Raw genomic sequence first — 16,906 nt, forward strand, 5'->3', positions numbered from 1 at the left:
TCTTCATCTCATAGGGTCATTGTGAAGATCAAATACTTTTTTTTTTTTTTTTTTTTTTTGAGATGGAGTCTTGCTCCGTCACCCAGGCTGGAGTGCAATGGTGCGATCTCAGCTCACTGCAACCTCCGCCTCCCAGGTTCAAGCGGTTCTCCTGCCTCAGCCTCCCGAGTAGCTGGGATTACAGGCGCCCGCCACCACACCCAGCTAATTTTTGTGTTTTTAGTAGAGACGGGGTTTCACCATGTTGGCCAGGCTGGTCTCGAACTCCTGACCTCAGGTGACCCACCCACCTCGGCCACCCAAAGTGCTGGGATTACAGGCATGAGCCACCGCACCTGGCAAAGATCAAATACTTAATAGAGGCAATGTTTAGCCATGCTTGGTGAGACTGCACCCAGTAAGTGTTTGCCATTTTAAGCACAGAAGGCCATCTTTTCTACAGTATTGGTTCTATCTGCTAAATTCATTTCATACACACTAGCAGGTCTTACCCAGTTTGCAAATACTGTTCCATAAAGAAGTGGGAACGGTCTTGGCAGTCTTTGAAGAATGGTATGTTCCACTTAGAGCCTGTCTCCGTATCTCCCTCAATGGGGGATCTTGGGCAAGCTCCTTCCACAGTCTGAGCCTCAGTTTTCTGGTCTGTCGAAGGGGAATTGCTGTACCTCTCCTGTAAAGCCAAACTGAGGACTAGTGAGAAAACGCCGAGTTGGGGCTCAGCACGGGGCCAGCCCTCAGGGACATTCAGCACTGTTTTCATTATTTCCTGTTCTGTTACACGCTCTGCTGTTACACAAGGAAAATAACAACCATACAGCAGCAACTGTTCTAATCACATCACACGCATAGCTCCTTTAATCACAGCCACACAACAGGTAGGGACTGAAACACAGAGACATCAAGCAAGTTGCTTGAGGTCACACAGGTAAGAAGCTTGGGTCTCAGCTCAGCCTTTCTGGCTGAAAGTCAATGCTGTTATCACTGTAACTACACTAGAACTTGTCTTGAACTGTCCCTAGAAATGGGAGTGTCTGGGGGTTAGGGGGGAGGTTAAAAAACCAAAACCTGTAAACCACTGTGACTTAGGGCTTATGTAGCCAGCATCTTATCACTGGACAGCACATGTTCTGAGGGCATGCCAAGGGTTTCACAGAACACGTGAGGCTCCACTGTGTGCTCACAGCTGCAGGGGGCCAGAAGCACCCTGTGGGGTCCCAGCAGGTAAGGAGCTTAGGCCTGGCTGGAGGATAAACCACCCTCCACAGGGAAGTTAGATAACCAGCAGGTGGGTGCAGCCCCCAGGTCCCTGCTCCTCCTGCCAGCCCGCTGAAGCAGTCCCGCCCCTGCGAGTTAGAATTCTACAGAAAAATCTGATTTCTGTTCTCTAGTGTTTAAAGAACCCTCTGATCCTAAGGAAATCTAAAAACTTTGGCAACTGGCAACTCCAACCTGCCAGAAAAGCCTCCCTCCCCATGCTCTTTCCTTTAATTTATCTTATGTTATTTTGAATAGTGAATACCTGCACATAGTACAGAGGTAGCAGTTAAGTCTGCCTCCCACTTTTAACCCATAGCCATCCAGATCTCTTCCCCAGAAGCAGCCCCCATCACCAGTTTCTTCTGTGTCCTTCAAGAGATAGTCTGTGCACGACTAAGCATACATGTATATTGAACACTTTTATACAGATGGTAAAAACCTAACCCTAAACCTACCAGGACTCATAAGCTTGTAGCAACTGCCAACGGTCTGTTCTGGTCTGCTCTTTTTATCACTGAGTTGCAGTGCCAGGTTCTGAATTCTGTCTGAGAGAACTGGACCAATCAAGGAAGCCACTGGCAAATTTCATTCAATGAACATCTTGTTGGACTCGGTAGGAAGGTGTGCAGGGATCAATTAGTGATGCCTGCCATGACCACGGGAGGGGAGTTTTAGGATAGGTGCTCAGATTGTTCTCCCTCAGTCTAGTAAATGTTTCCTGTACTTTGAATATATTATACATGGCTTTGTCACATCAAAATTCCACCTCCACTATTATTTGATTTTTTTTTTAATTTACAGACTTCTTTTGGTTCAAAAGTAAATTCATTTTAAAAGCCAAATTTATAGCACTACCTTAAATGGAAAGCCAGTTTTGTTTGCCATAAATGGAAGGTTTGGTAAGAATAAATTCACTAAAAATAAAATTATAAAATAAATATAAAATAAAATTGGTAAGAATATATTCACTAAAAGTTAAATTATAGCCAAGTATCCAAATCTGAAGACACAAAGAGATTAGCGAGTGTGAAAGATGTTCTCCTTAACCCAGGAATAATTAATACTAATGTAATACTCAGTTCCAGGTGCTCCCTCATTAATTGCTTACAACTACCATATAAAGTAGAAATTATTATCACGTCTATTTTATAGAGGAGGAAACTGAGGCATGGCAAGGGTCAGTGATAGGTGCAATGTCACTCAGCTAATGAGTGGTAAAGCCAGGAGTTGGACCCAAGCCGTCTAACTCCAGACTCCAAGCTCTTCACTTCTGAGCTAGGCTGCCTATTAGATCGATTAAAAGAAATTAAAAGGGAAGTCATCTAAAATTATCTTTTGTATCATCACTGGTGGTTTCTGTCACACTTTGGCAGCCCTAGATTGGTAGAAAGAGCCAAACTGGACTTAAGGCTTAAGTCTGGGTTCTAACCCTGTCTTTGTTACAAATTCATATATGACCCTGGTCATTCAGCCTCTGACCCTCCACTTCCCCATCTGTGAAGTACAGGAGTTAGGCTGTATTTGAGCTTCCAGATGGCGGGAACCATCCCTTATCTCAAAGAACCCACAGCACCTGGCACGCATTATCAGTTAGAGTTCATTCAGCCACCAGCAACAGAGAACCGAGTGTCCCAGCTTCCCTCTGTCGGTCTACCCTGCTATACTTGGACTTAGCTTTTTCATCCTTATGCCTCTTATCACCTCATGGTCACAAGACAGCTGCTTCACCTCCAGCCGTCACCTCCACATTACAGGAAGGCAGAAGAGAAAAGCAAGAAGGAGCAATGCCACAATCAGGAAAGCCGAAGTTTTCAGGTTTTGCTTTAATGGCTGGATTTGTGTTATATGGCCACTCTTGGCTGCAAGGGAGATAGAGAAGTGATCATTTTTACCTGGGTACATTGCCGCTCCAGTTGGATTTTCTTAACAAGAAAGGAGAGGAAGCAGATATTGAGTAGGCACCCATTAGGCGACTGTAAATACTTAAAGAAGGAAAGGCGAGAGGGAGGAAGGGGAGGATTAATCCTTCAGACCCCTTCCAGCTCTATAGAGCTGTGATAAAAGAATGTTCATCCTGCTGTCTTACAGAGCTCTGGGCCCAAAAGTATGAATGTTATATTTTTCCTTAAAAGGGTTTTTCTGTGAACTTCTGCATGTTGAGGCCACTTTTGTTTTTATTGGCAAACTTATTCCAGGGGAATGAGAGTTCATCACAGTACAGATGTATATTTAAGTAGGACAGGAGGCACAGGCAGGGGACCCACGGAAAGGGAATGTTTTAAAAGGGAGAGGCCAACATTCAGGCTGGGAAGAGTACACAGGAGTCTCAGGAAGGAGGTGTCAGGTGCCTTCCAACACAGCCAAGGACTGGAAGTAGCCCTGAAGCCAGTCCTGCTTCTCCCTGGCTGCCCGTGGTCATGGGTGCAGGCCGCATTCTTTTGTGAGGCCTCTCAGCATCCTTTCTGCAGTGCTGTCTTCAGAAGGTGGTGTTTATCCTTTCATTTATGACCTGGCCTAACTTTGCACTTTTTCCTGTCACTTTCTAGCTGGGTAGCCTTGGACAAGTTTCTTAACCTCTCTGTTCCACAGTATCTTTGTCTATAAAATGGGCTGATGATAATACGCATTTCATAGAACTGTTGTGAGGATTAAATAAGTTAATACGTATAAAGCTCACAGAAACTTTCCTGACACATAATAAGTTCTCAATCTTACCACACCATCATCATTATTGCCATTATCATCATTGTCCTGTCTGAGTGGGTCAATAGAAGCTGACACCTTCCCAATCAATGTTGAGCAGTTTTTGAGTAGTTCTTTCACTTTTTTAGTGATCAAGAGGATATTGATAGGATATAGATATTGATAGTTCAACATTACGAGGTGTTTGGATCCAAACAAAGTTGTCCAGGTTGTCCAGTAATAGACTATCCTTTTAACCACAGACTTAAATCTGTGTTTTTGGAGACAGGGCACTAGGAAAGTGTTCATAGGGCATGCTGGTATGGACAAAGTTGGATACTGTTAATCAGCACAGCCCTTCCCACTGGAGCTCTGCTTTTGATTTTACACAACTCCAGGGGGCACCATTCACATCAAAGTCATCATAGACTCAGTCATCAGACCATTTTCAACATATGGCGTTAAGGTGTCTTGAGAAAGTGAGAGGCCTTTTTCTAGCGGGGCTGCTTTCCATATGCTCTGGTCCACCCTTCCAAGAACCACAGATAGCCCATGAACCCTTCTTAGACTTACTCATTCATTCAGCATATGTTGGGTGACACCCACTGTGTGCCAGGCATTGTTCCAGGCACTAGAGATGCATCTGTGGACAAAGTAGACAACAGTCAATACTCACAGTGAGAAAGACAGACAAAAATCAATATTTGTAATAGAATAAATAAGTACATTGTATTGTAGGGTGAGAAACGCTATGAATGAGGAACAAAGTAGAGTCTTTCGGGGGGGTGGGGGCAATAGCAAGTTGCACTGTTCAACCAGGTGGTCAGGCTGGGTCTCACTAAGAAGTTGGCGTTGAGCACATGGTTCATTCAGCGATCACATTTTTGTAGAACGCTGTTCATTTTTTAATTCCTTCACTCAGCAAACATTTATTGAGGGCATGCCAAGTGCTTAACTAACATTCTCTCATTTCATCTCACAAAAATCCTATCTATAATTACTGATATTTCTCCCATTTTGTAAATGAGAAATTTGAGTCACAGGGAGGCAGAGTGACTTGCTCAAGGTCATACAATCGGAGAACAGCAGAACCTAGTTCTAAATCCAGGACTGAGACACTGCCAAGGAAGCATAAATACACTGCTTCTCACTGTACTCATCTAGAGAGAGAAAACAATACTAAACAGATCATCATGTACCTAATTACATCATTGCAATTGTGGTAATTGCTATGAAGGAAGAGTACAAGGGGCTTTGAGGAACTGTAACTGGGCCTGGGGAAATACTAAGCCCAGTGTATGGACTGGTGATTGCTGTGTAACAAAACACCCCAAAATGCAGTGGCTTAAAACAGCAATAATGGATCATTTCTCGTAATGTCTTGGATTGGCTGGGCTCAGCTAGGTGGTTTTCCACTCTTCCTGGTGATACTTGGGGCCACACATAACAGCTGCATTCAGCTGAGATGCCCAAGAAAGCTATCCCCATTCATCTGGCAGCTGGTGCTACTATAGGCTGGGGCACCTTGGTTCTCTTCCACATGGACTCTCTTCCTCCAGATATCCAACCAGCTTCCTCATAGCATAGTACTGGGTTCTAAGGAAAAGAAGGTGGAAACTGCCAGCTATTTTAAGGCCCGGACTCAGAAGTCCCAGAACATCATTTCTGCCACATGCTGTTGGTCAGAGCAAGTCACAAGGCCAGCCCATATTCAAGGAGAGGGGAAGATGTGGGAACAGTATACACATACAGGGATCAGAAGAGTTCTTGACAGCCATATTTGAAGGTCAGCCTACCACATCCTGTCCTTAAAATGTCTCACAAGTTTCTAGAGTAACTGGAGCACAGTGCTTCCATGGATTTGTTACCTTGAAGACGTTCTGCCTGAAGCTGCCCCTGTCTTCTTCCTCAACTCTTTTCATATCCGTCTACATGAGCAATGGAATTGCTATGGAACCAAGAGAACTTTTGTCAGGAATTTGCAGGGGCCTGTTTTTGAGAATTTTTTTCAGCATCAATGGTATATGCGGGTTTGGGAGTAGTGTTAGGGTATATTTCCAGCTTCTATAACAAAGATCAAAACTAACAATGGTTTGATGAAGTAGCGGTTTATTTCTCTCTTATGTAACAGTTGGGTGTTACAGAGGAGGAGACCCAGACTCTTCTCATCTTGCTGTTCCACAAGTCTGTGTTGCTGTCCTCTTCTATACGACAGCTAACATCTTAAGGCTAACGTCTAAGTCCATTTGGGCTGCTATAACAAACAGAATATCATAGACTGGGTAGCTTATAAACAACAGACATTTACTTCTAACAGTTCTAGGGACTGGGAAGTCCAAGATCAGGGTGCCAGCATGGTCAGGTTCAGGTGGGGACTCTCTTCCTGGTTCATAGACCACTAACTATCTTTTTGTTGTGTCCTTACATGGCAGAAAGAAGAGAGCTTTCTGGGGCTTCTTTTATAAGGGGCTTCTTTTATAATCACCTTCATGAGGGCTCGACTTTCATGACCAAATCACCTCCCAAAGGTCTCACCTCCAAATACTTTCATGTTAGGAATTAGCTTTCAACATGTGAATTTTGGAGGGACACAGCTAAAACTTGTGAGCTTGATCACTGTGAGACAGAAGGAAAGAATGGACATTGTGGGCAGTTACCAGCCTCTACCACTCATGGCTAGTGGGGGAACCAGCATGTAGATACACCGAAGGATGAAGGTGTCTGCATCTCTCATCATCTCTGCACAGAGCAGTGTCAGCTGTGGGCTGCCCACCAGAATTCCCAGCCCTCATCCTAAAACAACAGCCCTCCCTTGGTACAAACATCCAGTGAGTGAGCTTTGATGGGAGGCTTGTGTAGGGGGGTGGGCTGGGTCCAAGCCCTCCTAGCCAAGCGTGTATGGATTTCATGCTAATCTGCCTTTCTGGACTAGTCCATTCATCTATTCAAAATGTGTCGCCAGGTGGCTGCGACCACGAAGGGTCCAAACTAGGGCCAGTTCTGGACCAGGTTTGACACTGTAAAATATGACTGTTAAGGTGAGTTCAAGAGTTCAGCAGCTTGGTGAACTCTTGTGTATCTATCTGGGAAGGGTTCTGACAGATCTCAGCTGCCTCATGGAACAAGCACAACTCTTACTGCAGACAGCTTACCACTTAGCTGGGCAACCTTAGACATGTTACTTAACTTCTTTAAGCTTCAATGTCCTTATTTTTAAGATTGTCAGGCTGGGGTATGATATCTGTCTCCCCTGGGTTATTGTGAAGACAAAAATAAGATCAGATTAGGGCAACTTGCTCATTTTCTAAAATGTATCGTGTACATTTCTCAAAGAATGATTTTTTTTCTCTTTTCAAAGTTTAAATGTTGTAGTGCATCCCCATGAATATCCACTTACGCTGTAGGATCCTGAAGGTCGGGGGCTGTGTCTTATTCCCCTCTGCATCCCTCAGTGAGTAATTCTGGGCCTGGGAGTGAGCAGTTCCCCATTAAACGTGGGCATGCATGAATGAGTGCGTGGATGATCTGAGACTCCTAGGCGAGGGGCAGCAAACACAAATGCCCACAGGAGTAGGGCAGGTCACGCAGAGGAGTAAAGTGGGCTAAGCCTAAGAAAAAAGATGAGCAGGCACTGCTTTATTTTTTGTCTCTCTCTCTCTTTTTTTTGAGACAAAGTCTCACTCCGTCACCCGGGTTGGAGTGCAGTGGCGCGATCTCAGCTCACTGCAACCTCCGCCTCCCGGGTTCAAGCGATTCTCCCACCTCAGCCTCCCAAGTAGCCAGAATTACAGGCATGTGCCACCACGCCTGGCTAATTTTTGTATTTTTAGTAGAGACGGGGTTTCACCATGTTGGCCAGGCTGGTCTTGAACACCTGACCTCAGATAATCCACCTGCCTCAGCCTCCCAAAGTGCTGGGATTTCAGGTGTGAGCCACCGCGCCCAGCCTGTCTCTCATTTTTGTTAGGGACAAGGATATTGTCTTGTGTCCCACTGGTGCTGTAACAAAGTGCCACACAGTTAATAGCTTAAAACAAAACAAATTTATGACCTTATCGTTCTGGAAATTAGAATTCCGAAATCAAGGTGTTGGCAGGGCTGCTTCCTTCTGCAGGCTCCATGGGAGGATTCATTTTCCCTGCTGCCCGCATTCCTTGGCTTGTAGCCTCTTTCTCCATCCATCTCGCTCCCAGCCTCCCAAAGTGCTAGGATTACAGGCATGAGCCACCGCGCCCCTGCCTCCCTCTTAGTAAGACAATTGTGATTATATTGGGCTCACTGATAATCCAGGATCATCTGCCCATCTCAAGGCCATTAACATAATCACATCTGAAAAGTCCCTTTTGCTGTATAAACTAACTCGACTTATTCACAAATTCCGAGGATTAGGACATGAACACGTTTGAAGAACCATTATTCCGCCTACCACAGATACACAGAAACATTTTTAACTGTAAGAAAGCTATCAGGCCAAGGATGATGGCATTTTTCCCCAGTATTAAGGAGACCTCAGGGAGGGGAGGAGAGTGTGGCCACGTGGAGAACACATGCTCCATCTAAAAGGGGCTGCTACTCACTTTTAGAGTATGGTTATTACATATGAGAAACTGGGCCTGATTTGCCAGAACTTCCCCCACTTTTTTGTTCAAAGGGAAGCCCAAAATCTGGGTTTTCATGGGAAATTATTACATTTTGTCAGTTTCAAAAATATTATGCAGGCCGGGTGCAGTGGCCCATACCTGTAATTCTAGCAGTTTGGGAGACCAAGGCAGGTGGATCACAAGGTCAGGAGTTTGAGACCAGCGTGGCTAACATGGTGAAACCCTGTCTCTACTAAAAATACAAAAATTAGCTGGGCGTGGTGGCATGCACCTTTTAATCACAGCTACTCGGGAGGCTGAGGCAGGAGAATTGCTTGAACCTGGGAGGCAGAGGTTGCAGTGAGCCAAGATCACGCCATTGCATGCCAGTCTGGGCGACAAGAGTGAAACTCTGTCTCAAGAAAATAAATAATAAAATACTGTGCAGCAGTTCCCTGGCAGATATTATGAAATGTGCCAGGCTGGGAGGCTCAAGACTCTATAAATTGCTGAATCTGTGTCCCCTGCTTCACTCCCAGCAAGAGAGAAGTAACAGAGGTGAGAGTAAGAAGAAGAATGATACTAGTAGTGGGTGACATTTGTTCCAGCATTTCTGAGTTCCAACACGTTATGGTACTCAACACATTAAATGTATTAATTCATGTGGTTCTCACAATGGCCCTGGAAGATGGGTGCTATTTGAAGACCCATTTTGCAGATGGAGAAACTGAGGCACAGAGGCACTAAGTCACTTGCACAGGGTCACATAGCCAGTAAATAGCAGATTCAAACTCAGTCAGTCCCTATTCTGTTTCTTTTTAACTTTCTATTTTAAATTAAGTTTAGACTTACAGAAAAGTTGCAAAGATAGTACAGAGTTCCCTGAAGCCCTTCTCCCGCTTTCCCTAATGTGAACCTCTTACATAACCATCGGGCAGTGATCAGAACTAGAAAAATGACATAGGTGCAGTGCTTTTAACTAAACTACAGACTTTATTTGGATTTTACCAGTTTTTCCAGAAACATCCATTTTCTGTTGCAGGATCCAGTCAAGGGTCCCTGATATGGTTTGGGTGTGTGTCCTCTCCACATTGTTGGAGGTGGGGCCTGGTGGGAGGTGTTTGGATCATGGGGGCGAATCCCTTGTGAATGGCTTGGGGCTCTCCTCGTGATAATGAATGAGTTCTCTCTGTTAATTCACCTGCAGATCTGGTTGTTTCAAAGAGTCTGGGACCTCCCCCTTTCCCTCTCTCTTGCTCTGTCTCGTCGTGTGACACCCCCTGCTCCATGTTGTCATGTGACACACCTGTTCCAGCTTCGCCTTCCGCCATGAGTAAAAGCTCCCTGAGGCCCCCCCAGAAGCTGAGCAGATGCTGGCACCATGCTTGTACAGCCTGCAGGACCATGAGCCAATTCAACCTCTTTGCTTTAAAAATTACCCAGCTTCAGGTGTTTCTTTATAGCATGCAAAATCTGATGACAAACACAGTCCCACTTTGCATGTAGCTGTGCCTCTCTCTCTAGGCTCCCATCTGTGACAGACCCCCCCCCCACCGCCACCAGTCTGTCTTTCTCTCATGATTTTGACACTTTTGATGAATACTAGCTGGACATTTTGGCAGTTGTCCCTCAATATGGGCGTGTCTCCTGTTTCCTGGTGATTAGCTTGAGGTTGTGCACTTTTGTCAAGGAGATCACATAAGTGACGTTGCACCCTCAGTGCATCTTTCCAGGGGCTGCACGATGCTGATGTCTTATTATTGGTGATGTTAACCTTGATCATCATGCTCGAGTGCCTCGTAAGATCACAAATCCTGTATCTGTCTGTCCCAATGGGGCAAGGAGTCTCGTAGAAATCTGCATGGTTCTCAGGTATGCCTGCCGGAGAGCTTGGCTTTCTCTCTTGTTAACTTTGATCATCAGAGTCTGGGTCCTAACCCCTTGGTTTAAATGCTTTCTGTATGTAGCGAGAGGGAAAAATATAAAACAAACACAAAATATTCAGCAGGACACATCAGCAGACCTCACCCATCCCTTGGGCTGACCTAGTAAATACGTATGAAGTGCTCAGTAACAGTGAATAACCTCCAAATTTTAAGAAGGCTTAAAAACACCCACTAGTGATGGCAGGAGTGGGAAAGAAAAGCACCCACATTCGGGGACTTTGGAAATAATTCAAGCAATGAAGATTGGAAGAGATGATCAGGGAAGGGGAAATAAATCCAGCAGAGATGAAAGCCAAGGTCCGCAGCTGCTCGGACCATCAAACCTTTATAAGCAATGTGAGGTTTTTAAGGAAAGGAGTGAATTATAGCTGTTAGGACCAAGGACAAAAAGGCTTTGATCTAAAAGTGGGAGACATCTTAAAGGAAGCTGTGGCTTTTGCATAAGGTATTTCCACATCCTCCTGGGGTGCATTAGATGAACCCATTTGGAATTTACAGGTCTGCAGAAGGGCCCTTATTCCTAAGGGTATACACTTGAAACAAGCGGCTTTGCAGGAGTGGAGTTGATATTTGGAGAGAGAAAGCGTAGCGCTCCAGCAGGCATACCTGAGAACCTTGCAGCGTTTTACGAGGCTCCTTGCCCCGCTGGGACAGACAGATACAGGATGTGTGATCTTACGAGGCATTCGAGCATTGCCATGGGAGGTCATTTTGGTGAGCCCTTGACCTCTCCATTTGAAAAGTATCAGTTTGGAAAAGGTTGTCTTTACTGCCAGGAAACTTTAGAACAGAGGCTATAACATGGCTTTTTGGACAGTCACTCTGTCGCTAACCAGATGTTGGCCTCTGTTTGCCCTGGGGCGAGACCCTAGCCTATGCCGGACTTTCCCTCTCGTTGAGCACTGGCTGCCAAGGACTCATCACAGCACGTTCTGCATCGCTTCGCCATTGCAGTGTATGCACGGTGCACGTGGCTGGCATCGCAGAACGCCATCAAAACAGCCCCATAGGCGGCCATCTGCTGTGAAGAAATCAGAAGTATGTGCACCACATACATCTAGGTGCATTGGGAGGAAGAAGTAGGGGGGCGGATTTTTAGCTGGGTTAAGTCAAATACCCACCGAAACTATGAATGAACCTTCCAGTAGGACCAAAAATTACAGCAGATTGGAAATGGGAGAAAACTGAGATGAAGAACAAGCCCCCGAGGCAGACACTCCTGGGTTCTAATCCCAGTTTTGCTCATAATCTGTGAGTTTTAATTTGCAAGTTGCTTAACCTCAAGGATGAAAGCTTCAGTTTCTCACCTCCTGCAAGTCTGTCCTCAGATGTGGAGCCTTCTCTGATGACCCAACCCGGACCCCAGTGTTCCTGGGTCCCCTTCCAGCTTAGCTGGCTCCAGCACCTATGACCATGGGACACATTATTTTATATATTTATGCACCCTCAGCCCCTCCTGACTCATGTCAGCTCCACAGAGGCAGGGATTTCATCAGTATCCTGCTTAGGACAGACTGGCACACAGTAGGTGCTCAGGAAACATCAGTGAAACGATTGAAAGGAGTCACCGACCTTGCTCTGTTGTTTTCCTTTTTGGCAGAGGATAAGCTAGGATAACCACAGCTCGGGGCTCAGCATAGTGCCCGGCACAGAGCAGATGCCCAGCAATCAGTAACTATTGCTAATGTCAACTCATTCACTTTTTTCATTCAATGAATAGTTATCAAACGTTTGTTGTGTGCCAGGTTCCAGCTGGAAATAGTGCCGAGAACAAAACAGATACTCCTTTTTTTCCCCCCAGAAATTATTTCTTGAGAGCCTACCACGTGCCTCCCACTCTCCCATGAACAAAAGACAGCCTCTGCTCCCATGGGGCTCATATTCCAGTGGGAATGTGATAAACAATAAAAGCAACCCTGAAGAAATGAGATGATTTCAGAGGCGTGCTACTAAAAGAAAAAGCTTTAGAACCAGGGTCATGTGCAAGGTGTGGCTGGAGTTGGGGGGAGCATGGGGGCTGCTTTAGCTGGAGTGGTCAGGGGAGGTCACATGTGAGCTGAGACCCAAATGAGGAGGAGGAGGAGAAGCCAGCATGGGAGGGGCTGGGGCCCCCACCTGTGGTCCTGGCAGCATCAGCATCACGAGGGGCGTGTTAGAAATCTCAGGCCTCATCCAGAACCTTCAGAGTCTGTGAACGGATTGCTCAGCTACTGCTGGGCATTTACCCCAAGCCGACCTTTGTTACTAAGGAATGTTTGGGGCTTGAGAGTGCCAGTCCTCTGCTGAGATTTGCAGTGCCCTTTTGTAAACCGCTACAAGGCAAAATAGGTCGTTTTAGGAGTCCTGCTTCTTTCTTTTTATCTTTTTTCTTTTTTTGAGACAGGGTCTCATTCTGTTGCCCAAACTGGAGTGCAGTGGTGTGATCACAGCTCACTGCAGCCTTGACCTCTGGGTTCAAGCAATCCTCCTGCCTCAGCCCCCAAGTAGCTGGGACTGTCACCATACACGTGTCACCATACCCGGTTATTATTCTGTATTTTGTAGAGATGGGATCTCACTATGTTGCCCAGGCTGATCTCAAACTCCTGGCCTCAAGCAATCCTCCTGTCTCAGCCTCCCAAACGGGCTTCTATTTCTTTTATCCACATTCACAGTATAAGACTGAGACATGAAATATTTCCAGCCACCATCTGGGTAGGACCTGGTGTCATTGAGTGTGTCCCCTATGTGGTCCTGGAAGTCAAGGACTGTGTCTGGGTCATCTTCGTCTCCCCAGCCCTTAACCTATTGCCTGTGGAGGGCATAGAATTGGCCACCCTCCATGGTGGGCCTTACGTAGTTTCTCGACCTTTTTTTCATTATTGTCCCCCACCCCCACTCCCACCTCAAGGATCCTTTTTAGACATTTTTTCTTCTAGATGAAATTACAAAGAATAAGGGAGAATGGAAATTGGAGGCCACCCAGATCTCTCTCTCTCCACCCTTAGAGCCCTTATTGGTTTTGCAAGTTTCTCAGCAAGAAAGACTTCTTTATGAAAAGCGAATGCCACGGACATGCTGTACATCTGTTTATGTGCTGAAGGTGTATCTCTACTTCATTCATAAAAAGAGTAACATTCGGCCGGGTGCAGCGGCTCATGCCTGTAATCCCAGCACTTTGGGAAACCAAGATGAGCAGATTGCTTGAACCCAGGAGTTCTCGACCAGCCTGGGCAACATGACAAAACTCCGTCTCTACTAGAAATACAAAAAATTAGCCGGGTGTGGTGGCGCATGCCTGTAGTCTCGGCTACTCAGGAGGCTGAGGTGGGAGAAACAACCGAGCCCAGGAAGTCAAGACTGCAGTGAGCTGAGATCATGCCACTGCACTCCAGCCTGGGGGACAGGAGTGAGACCTTGTCTCAAAAAAAAAAAAAAAAAAAGAGTAAGATTCTTCTATCTCCCAAGAACCAATCATCACCCAAGGAGGTGAATATTGGTTCTTGGGAGATAGAAGAATCTTACTTGCTTACAGGCAGTCTCAAGGGTGGGGGTGATATTGCCCCCTTGAGAATACGTGGGCTAAAATTTCCACAAAGGAGGGGCTCAGGGTTGTCAAGGAGAGGCAGTCAGGTTAGGATCCGAGTAGAGTCGTTAGGGTCATAGACTCAAGGCGGACTGCTGCAGTCAGCATCCCAGCTCGGAACCTTACTGAGTGACCTTGGGCCTCAGTTTCCCCATTTGTAAAATGGGGATGGTATTGATGATGACACTCACCTTATAATGTGGTCATGAGGATTAAATTAATTAATACAATTAACTTTCTTAGAGAAGTACCTGTCACACAGTAAGAATTTGATAAGTATAAGTGATTATTGTAATTATGTTTGAGAAAACCTAAGTTGTCTGTAAGACAGAATGGACGGGGTTTGTTCATGGAGATTGTGAGGCACTGAGCATTGCACCCCCCACTTCTCCAACTTGACCCTGATGCCACCCCTGGCTGAGGTGTTCAGTGAATATTTGTGGAATAAATGGCATCTCATTCACATCTCTGTCTCCACTTTGAATGAATGAATGACGCTAAGGAAATAGATCACGTCTCATTCATCGCAGTTTCCCCTGAAATTCATATACTGTCAGCGTAGGGCTGGTGATGAAAAAATATTTGTCGAATTCATGAATCCGTCAGTTTCACTGATTCCGTTCAGCAGATCAGCACTGAATGTCTACCCTGCACCAGGTGTTTCTGAGCATGTGTGGGGGGCTGCTTGAGATAAGCAAGGTGTACTGAGTAAAAGCCTCCTCCCCTCTCAGATCCTCTTCACTAATGCGGATAGACAGAAAATGAGCACATTCACCCCTCTTTGCCCAGCACCCAACACTTGACACCTGGGCAGCCCAGGACTTGACCCCAGGACATCCCATACAGAGTTCTTTCTGCTGCTCTGCCCCACGTCCCTCAGATGTGTGACTCCGGGACTCACTTGGGGGACATGCAGCCAGTCTCCTAGCTATGCCAGGCCCTGCTTCTGTCTCTCTCTTGCTGTTACCTATGAACTTTTGATTCAGTTTGGACTCTCGCACACAAGTAAAATAAAACCCAGCCTAAACTGACTTAATATTTTTACAGGAATTTATTGTAAACTGCAGCTATTACGGGCTCCAGAAATAGATGGATCCGGAGCTCAAACATGTCAGCCAGATTTGGTTCCTCTTTCTGTCTCTCTTTTTCTGTGTTCTGCAGCTGTGCTTTGACAGACTGTGCCCTCGTGGTGGCGAAGAGGCTGCAGCAGCTCCAGCCTCTTTACCATATGTCATCTTGAGATTCCCTCTCATTGGACCTGCCTGTTAGTTCAGGTGCACACCCCTAAAGCAGTCATTGTGGTCAGGGGACTGTGATGCACTGATTGGTCCAGGCTCAGTCACGTGATGCATCCCTGCCAAATTCTCACCAGGGAAGTGTAAGCCATCTCGAACCTCATTGCCCTGCATGGGACTGTATCAGTGAAAATCTCTCTCTGACGTGTATAACTTGTTTCAGAAACTCTGGTCTTTATGGGTTACCATTCCCGAGGAGATCCTCTGCAGGAAGAATAGGTATTTGGTCTTGGGATCCGCTGTGATCCCCTGATCTGTTTCCACCACACTGGGTGAAGGCAGATGGTCTGTCCCTCCCTATATTGTATCAGATCATGTCACTCCCCTGTTTAAAAGCCTTTGTCTCTGGAGATTCCCACTGAAATCAGAAATAAACCCCAATGCCTTGCTGCGACCGCCTTACCTGGGCCCAGCACCGTGCAGTTCCTGATGACCTCTCTGACCTCCTCTCGCACACTTGCCCCCTTATCCTCTCCTGAATTTCACTCGCTCTTGCTTCTTTCAGATCCTTACCCCTCAGGGTCTTTGCACTTTGCTCTTTCCCGTAACCTAGAATGTTCTGTCCCCACGTCTTCATGATGTAACTGGCTCCTTCCTATGCATTTAGCAAATGCCACCTCCTCTAAGAGGTCTTCCAAATGTATTGATCCCCTGTTTAACTGAAATCAACAAACATAAATATTCAGTCCAGCATGTGCTCAGAGTAGCCCCACTGTCCTGCAACTCACCTTTTTTTTCACCCCGCACTGCATTTTGGACATCTCTCCACACCAGCACATGTGGACCGACATGTGACAGCTTTCTCCTCTGCAGCAGGATGGCTCTTCCCGCCCCTGCTGCCCCCGCCACCCCTGCTCCTTCCATGGCATTATCCCGACTTGTGTGGCAGAGACACAGTGACAGGGCAGCCTATCTGAAATGGCGTTCTCAGGCATGCGGATTGTTTTATTACCAGTTAAATATGCTTTATGCTACCTGTGAATGAGGCCATTGTGACATTTAGCAACTGATTTGATTAAACACAGATGTGGGCTAGACTCCACGTGGAGCAAAGATGCAGGAAGACAGGCTCCGGGTGTGGGTTTGGAGTTTTTAAGACGGTGAGAAGGACTTGACGACTCACAGCAGCAAGGCAGATGTGGACCAGGCGTCCTGTTGGTCTCAGAGCTGAGAACGCAACATGGGTACCCCAGGAGGCTTTGTCTGCTTTGGGTTCTGCTGTTTGGTCCTATCCAAATTGTTTTTTTTTTTTTAACCTTCCCTGGATGTTTTTATTCCTGTGAATTTTTTTAAATGACAAATTGGTGAAATGCTAGCACTTTTGACATCTTCAGTGGTGATTATGAAGACACAAAAAATTATCACCGTAGCTCCCGTTTGTTGAACATGTACTCGATGCTGGGCTCTGGCCCTTGTATCCCACGTCTCACAGAACCACCACATAAGCCAGATAAACAAACTATGCTTAGCTCCACTTTACAGATGAGGAAACTGAGGCTTAGAAAGTTCAACCATGTGTCCATAGTTATCAGGGAAAATCATGAGTTATATCTGAATTCTCTGTTGTCTTCCAGCCCGTTC

General features: G+C 46.0%; 1 protein-coding gene across 5 annotated transcripts in view, besides 1 other annotated feature; it reads left to right on the forward strand.

Annotated features, from left to right (window-relative positions):
- Positions 1-16,906, forward strand: part of EYA2 (EYA transcriptional coactivator and phosphatase 2) — a 294,002-nt gene that overhangs the window by 144,957 nt on the left and 132,139 nt on the right. The window lies entirely within an intron of this gene.
- Positions 10,077-10,277: a silencer, noted in NCBI's record as "peak4229 fragment used in MPRA reporter construct". NCBI's record gives its function as "represses an SCP1 promoter by STARR-seq MPRAs in K562 erythroleukemia cells {active_cell/tissue: K562}" and the evidence as "EXISTENCE:reporter gene assay evidence [ECO:0000049][PMID:32103011]".

The sequence above is a fragment of the Homo sapiens genome, chromosome 20 (genome assembly GCF_000001405.40).
Source record: "Homo sapiens chromosome 20, GRCh38.p14 Primary Assembly".
Lineage (NCBI taxonomy): Eukaryota > Metazoa > Chordata > Mammalia > Primates > Hominidae > Homo > Homo sapiens.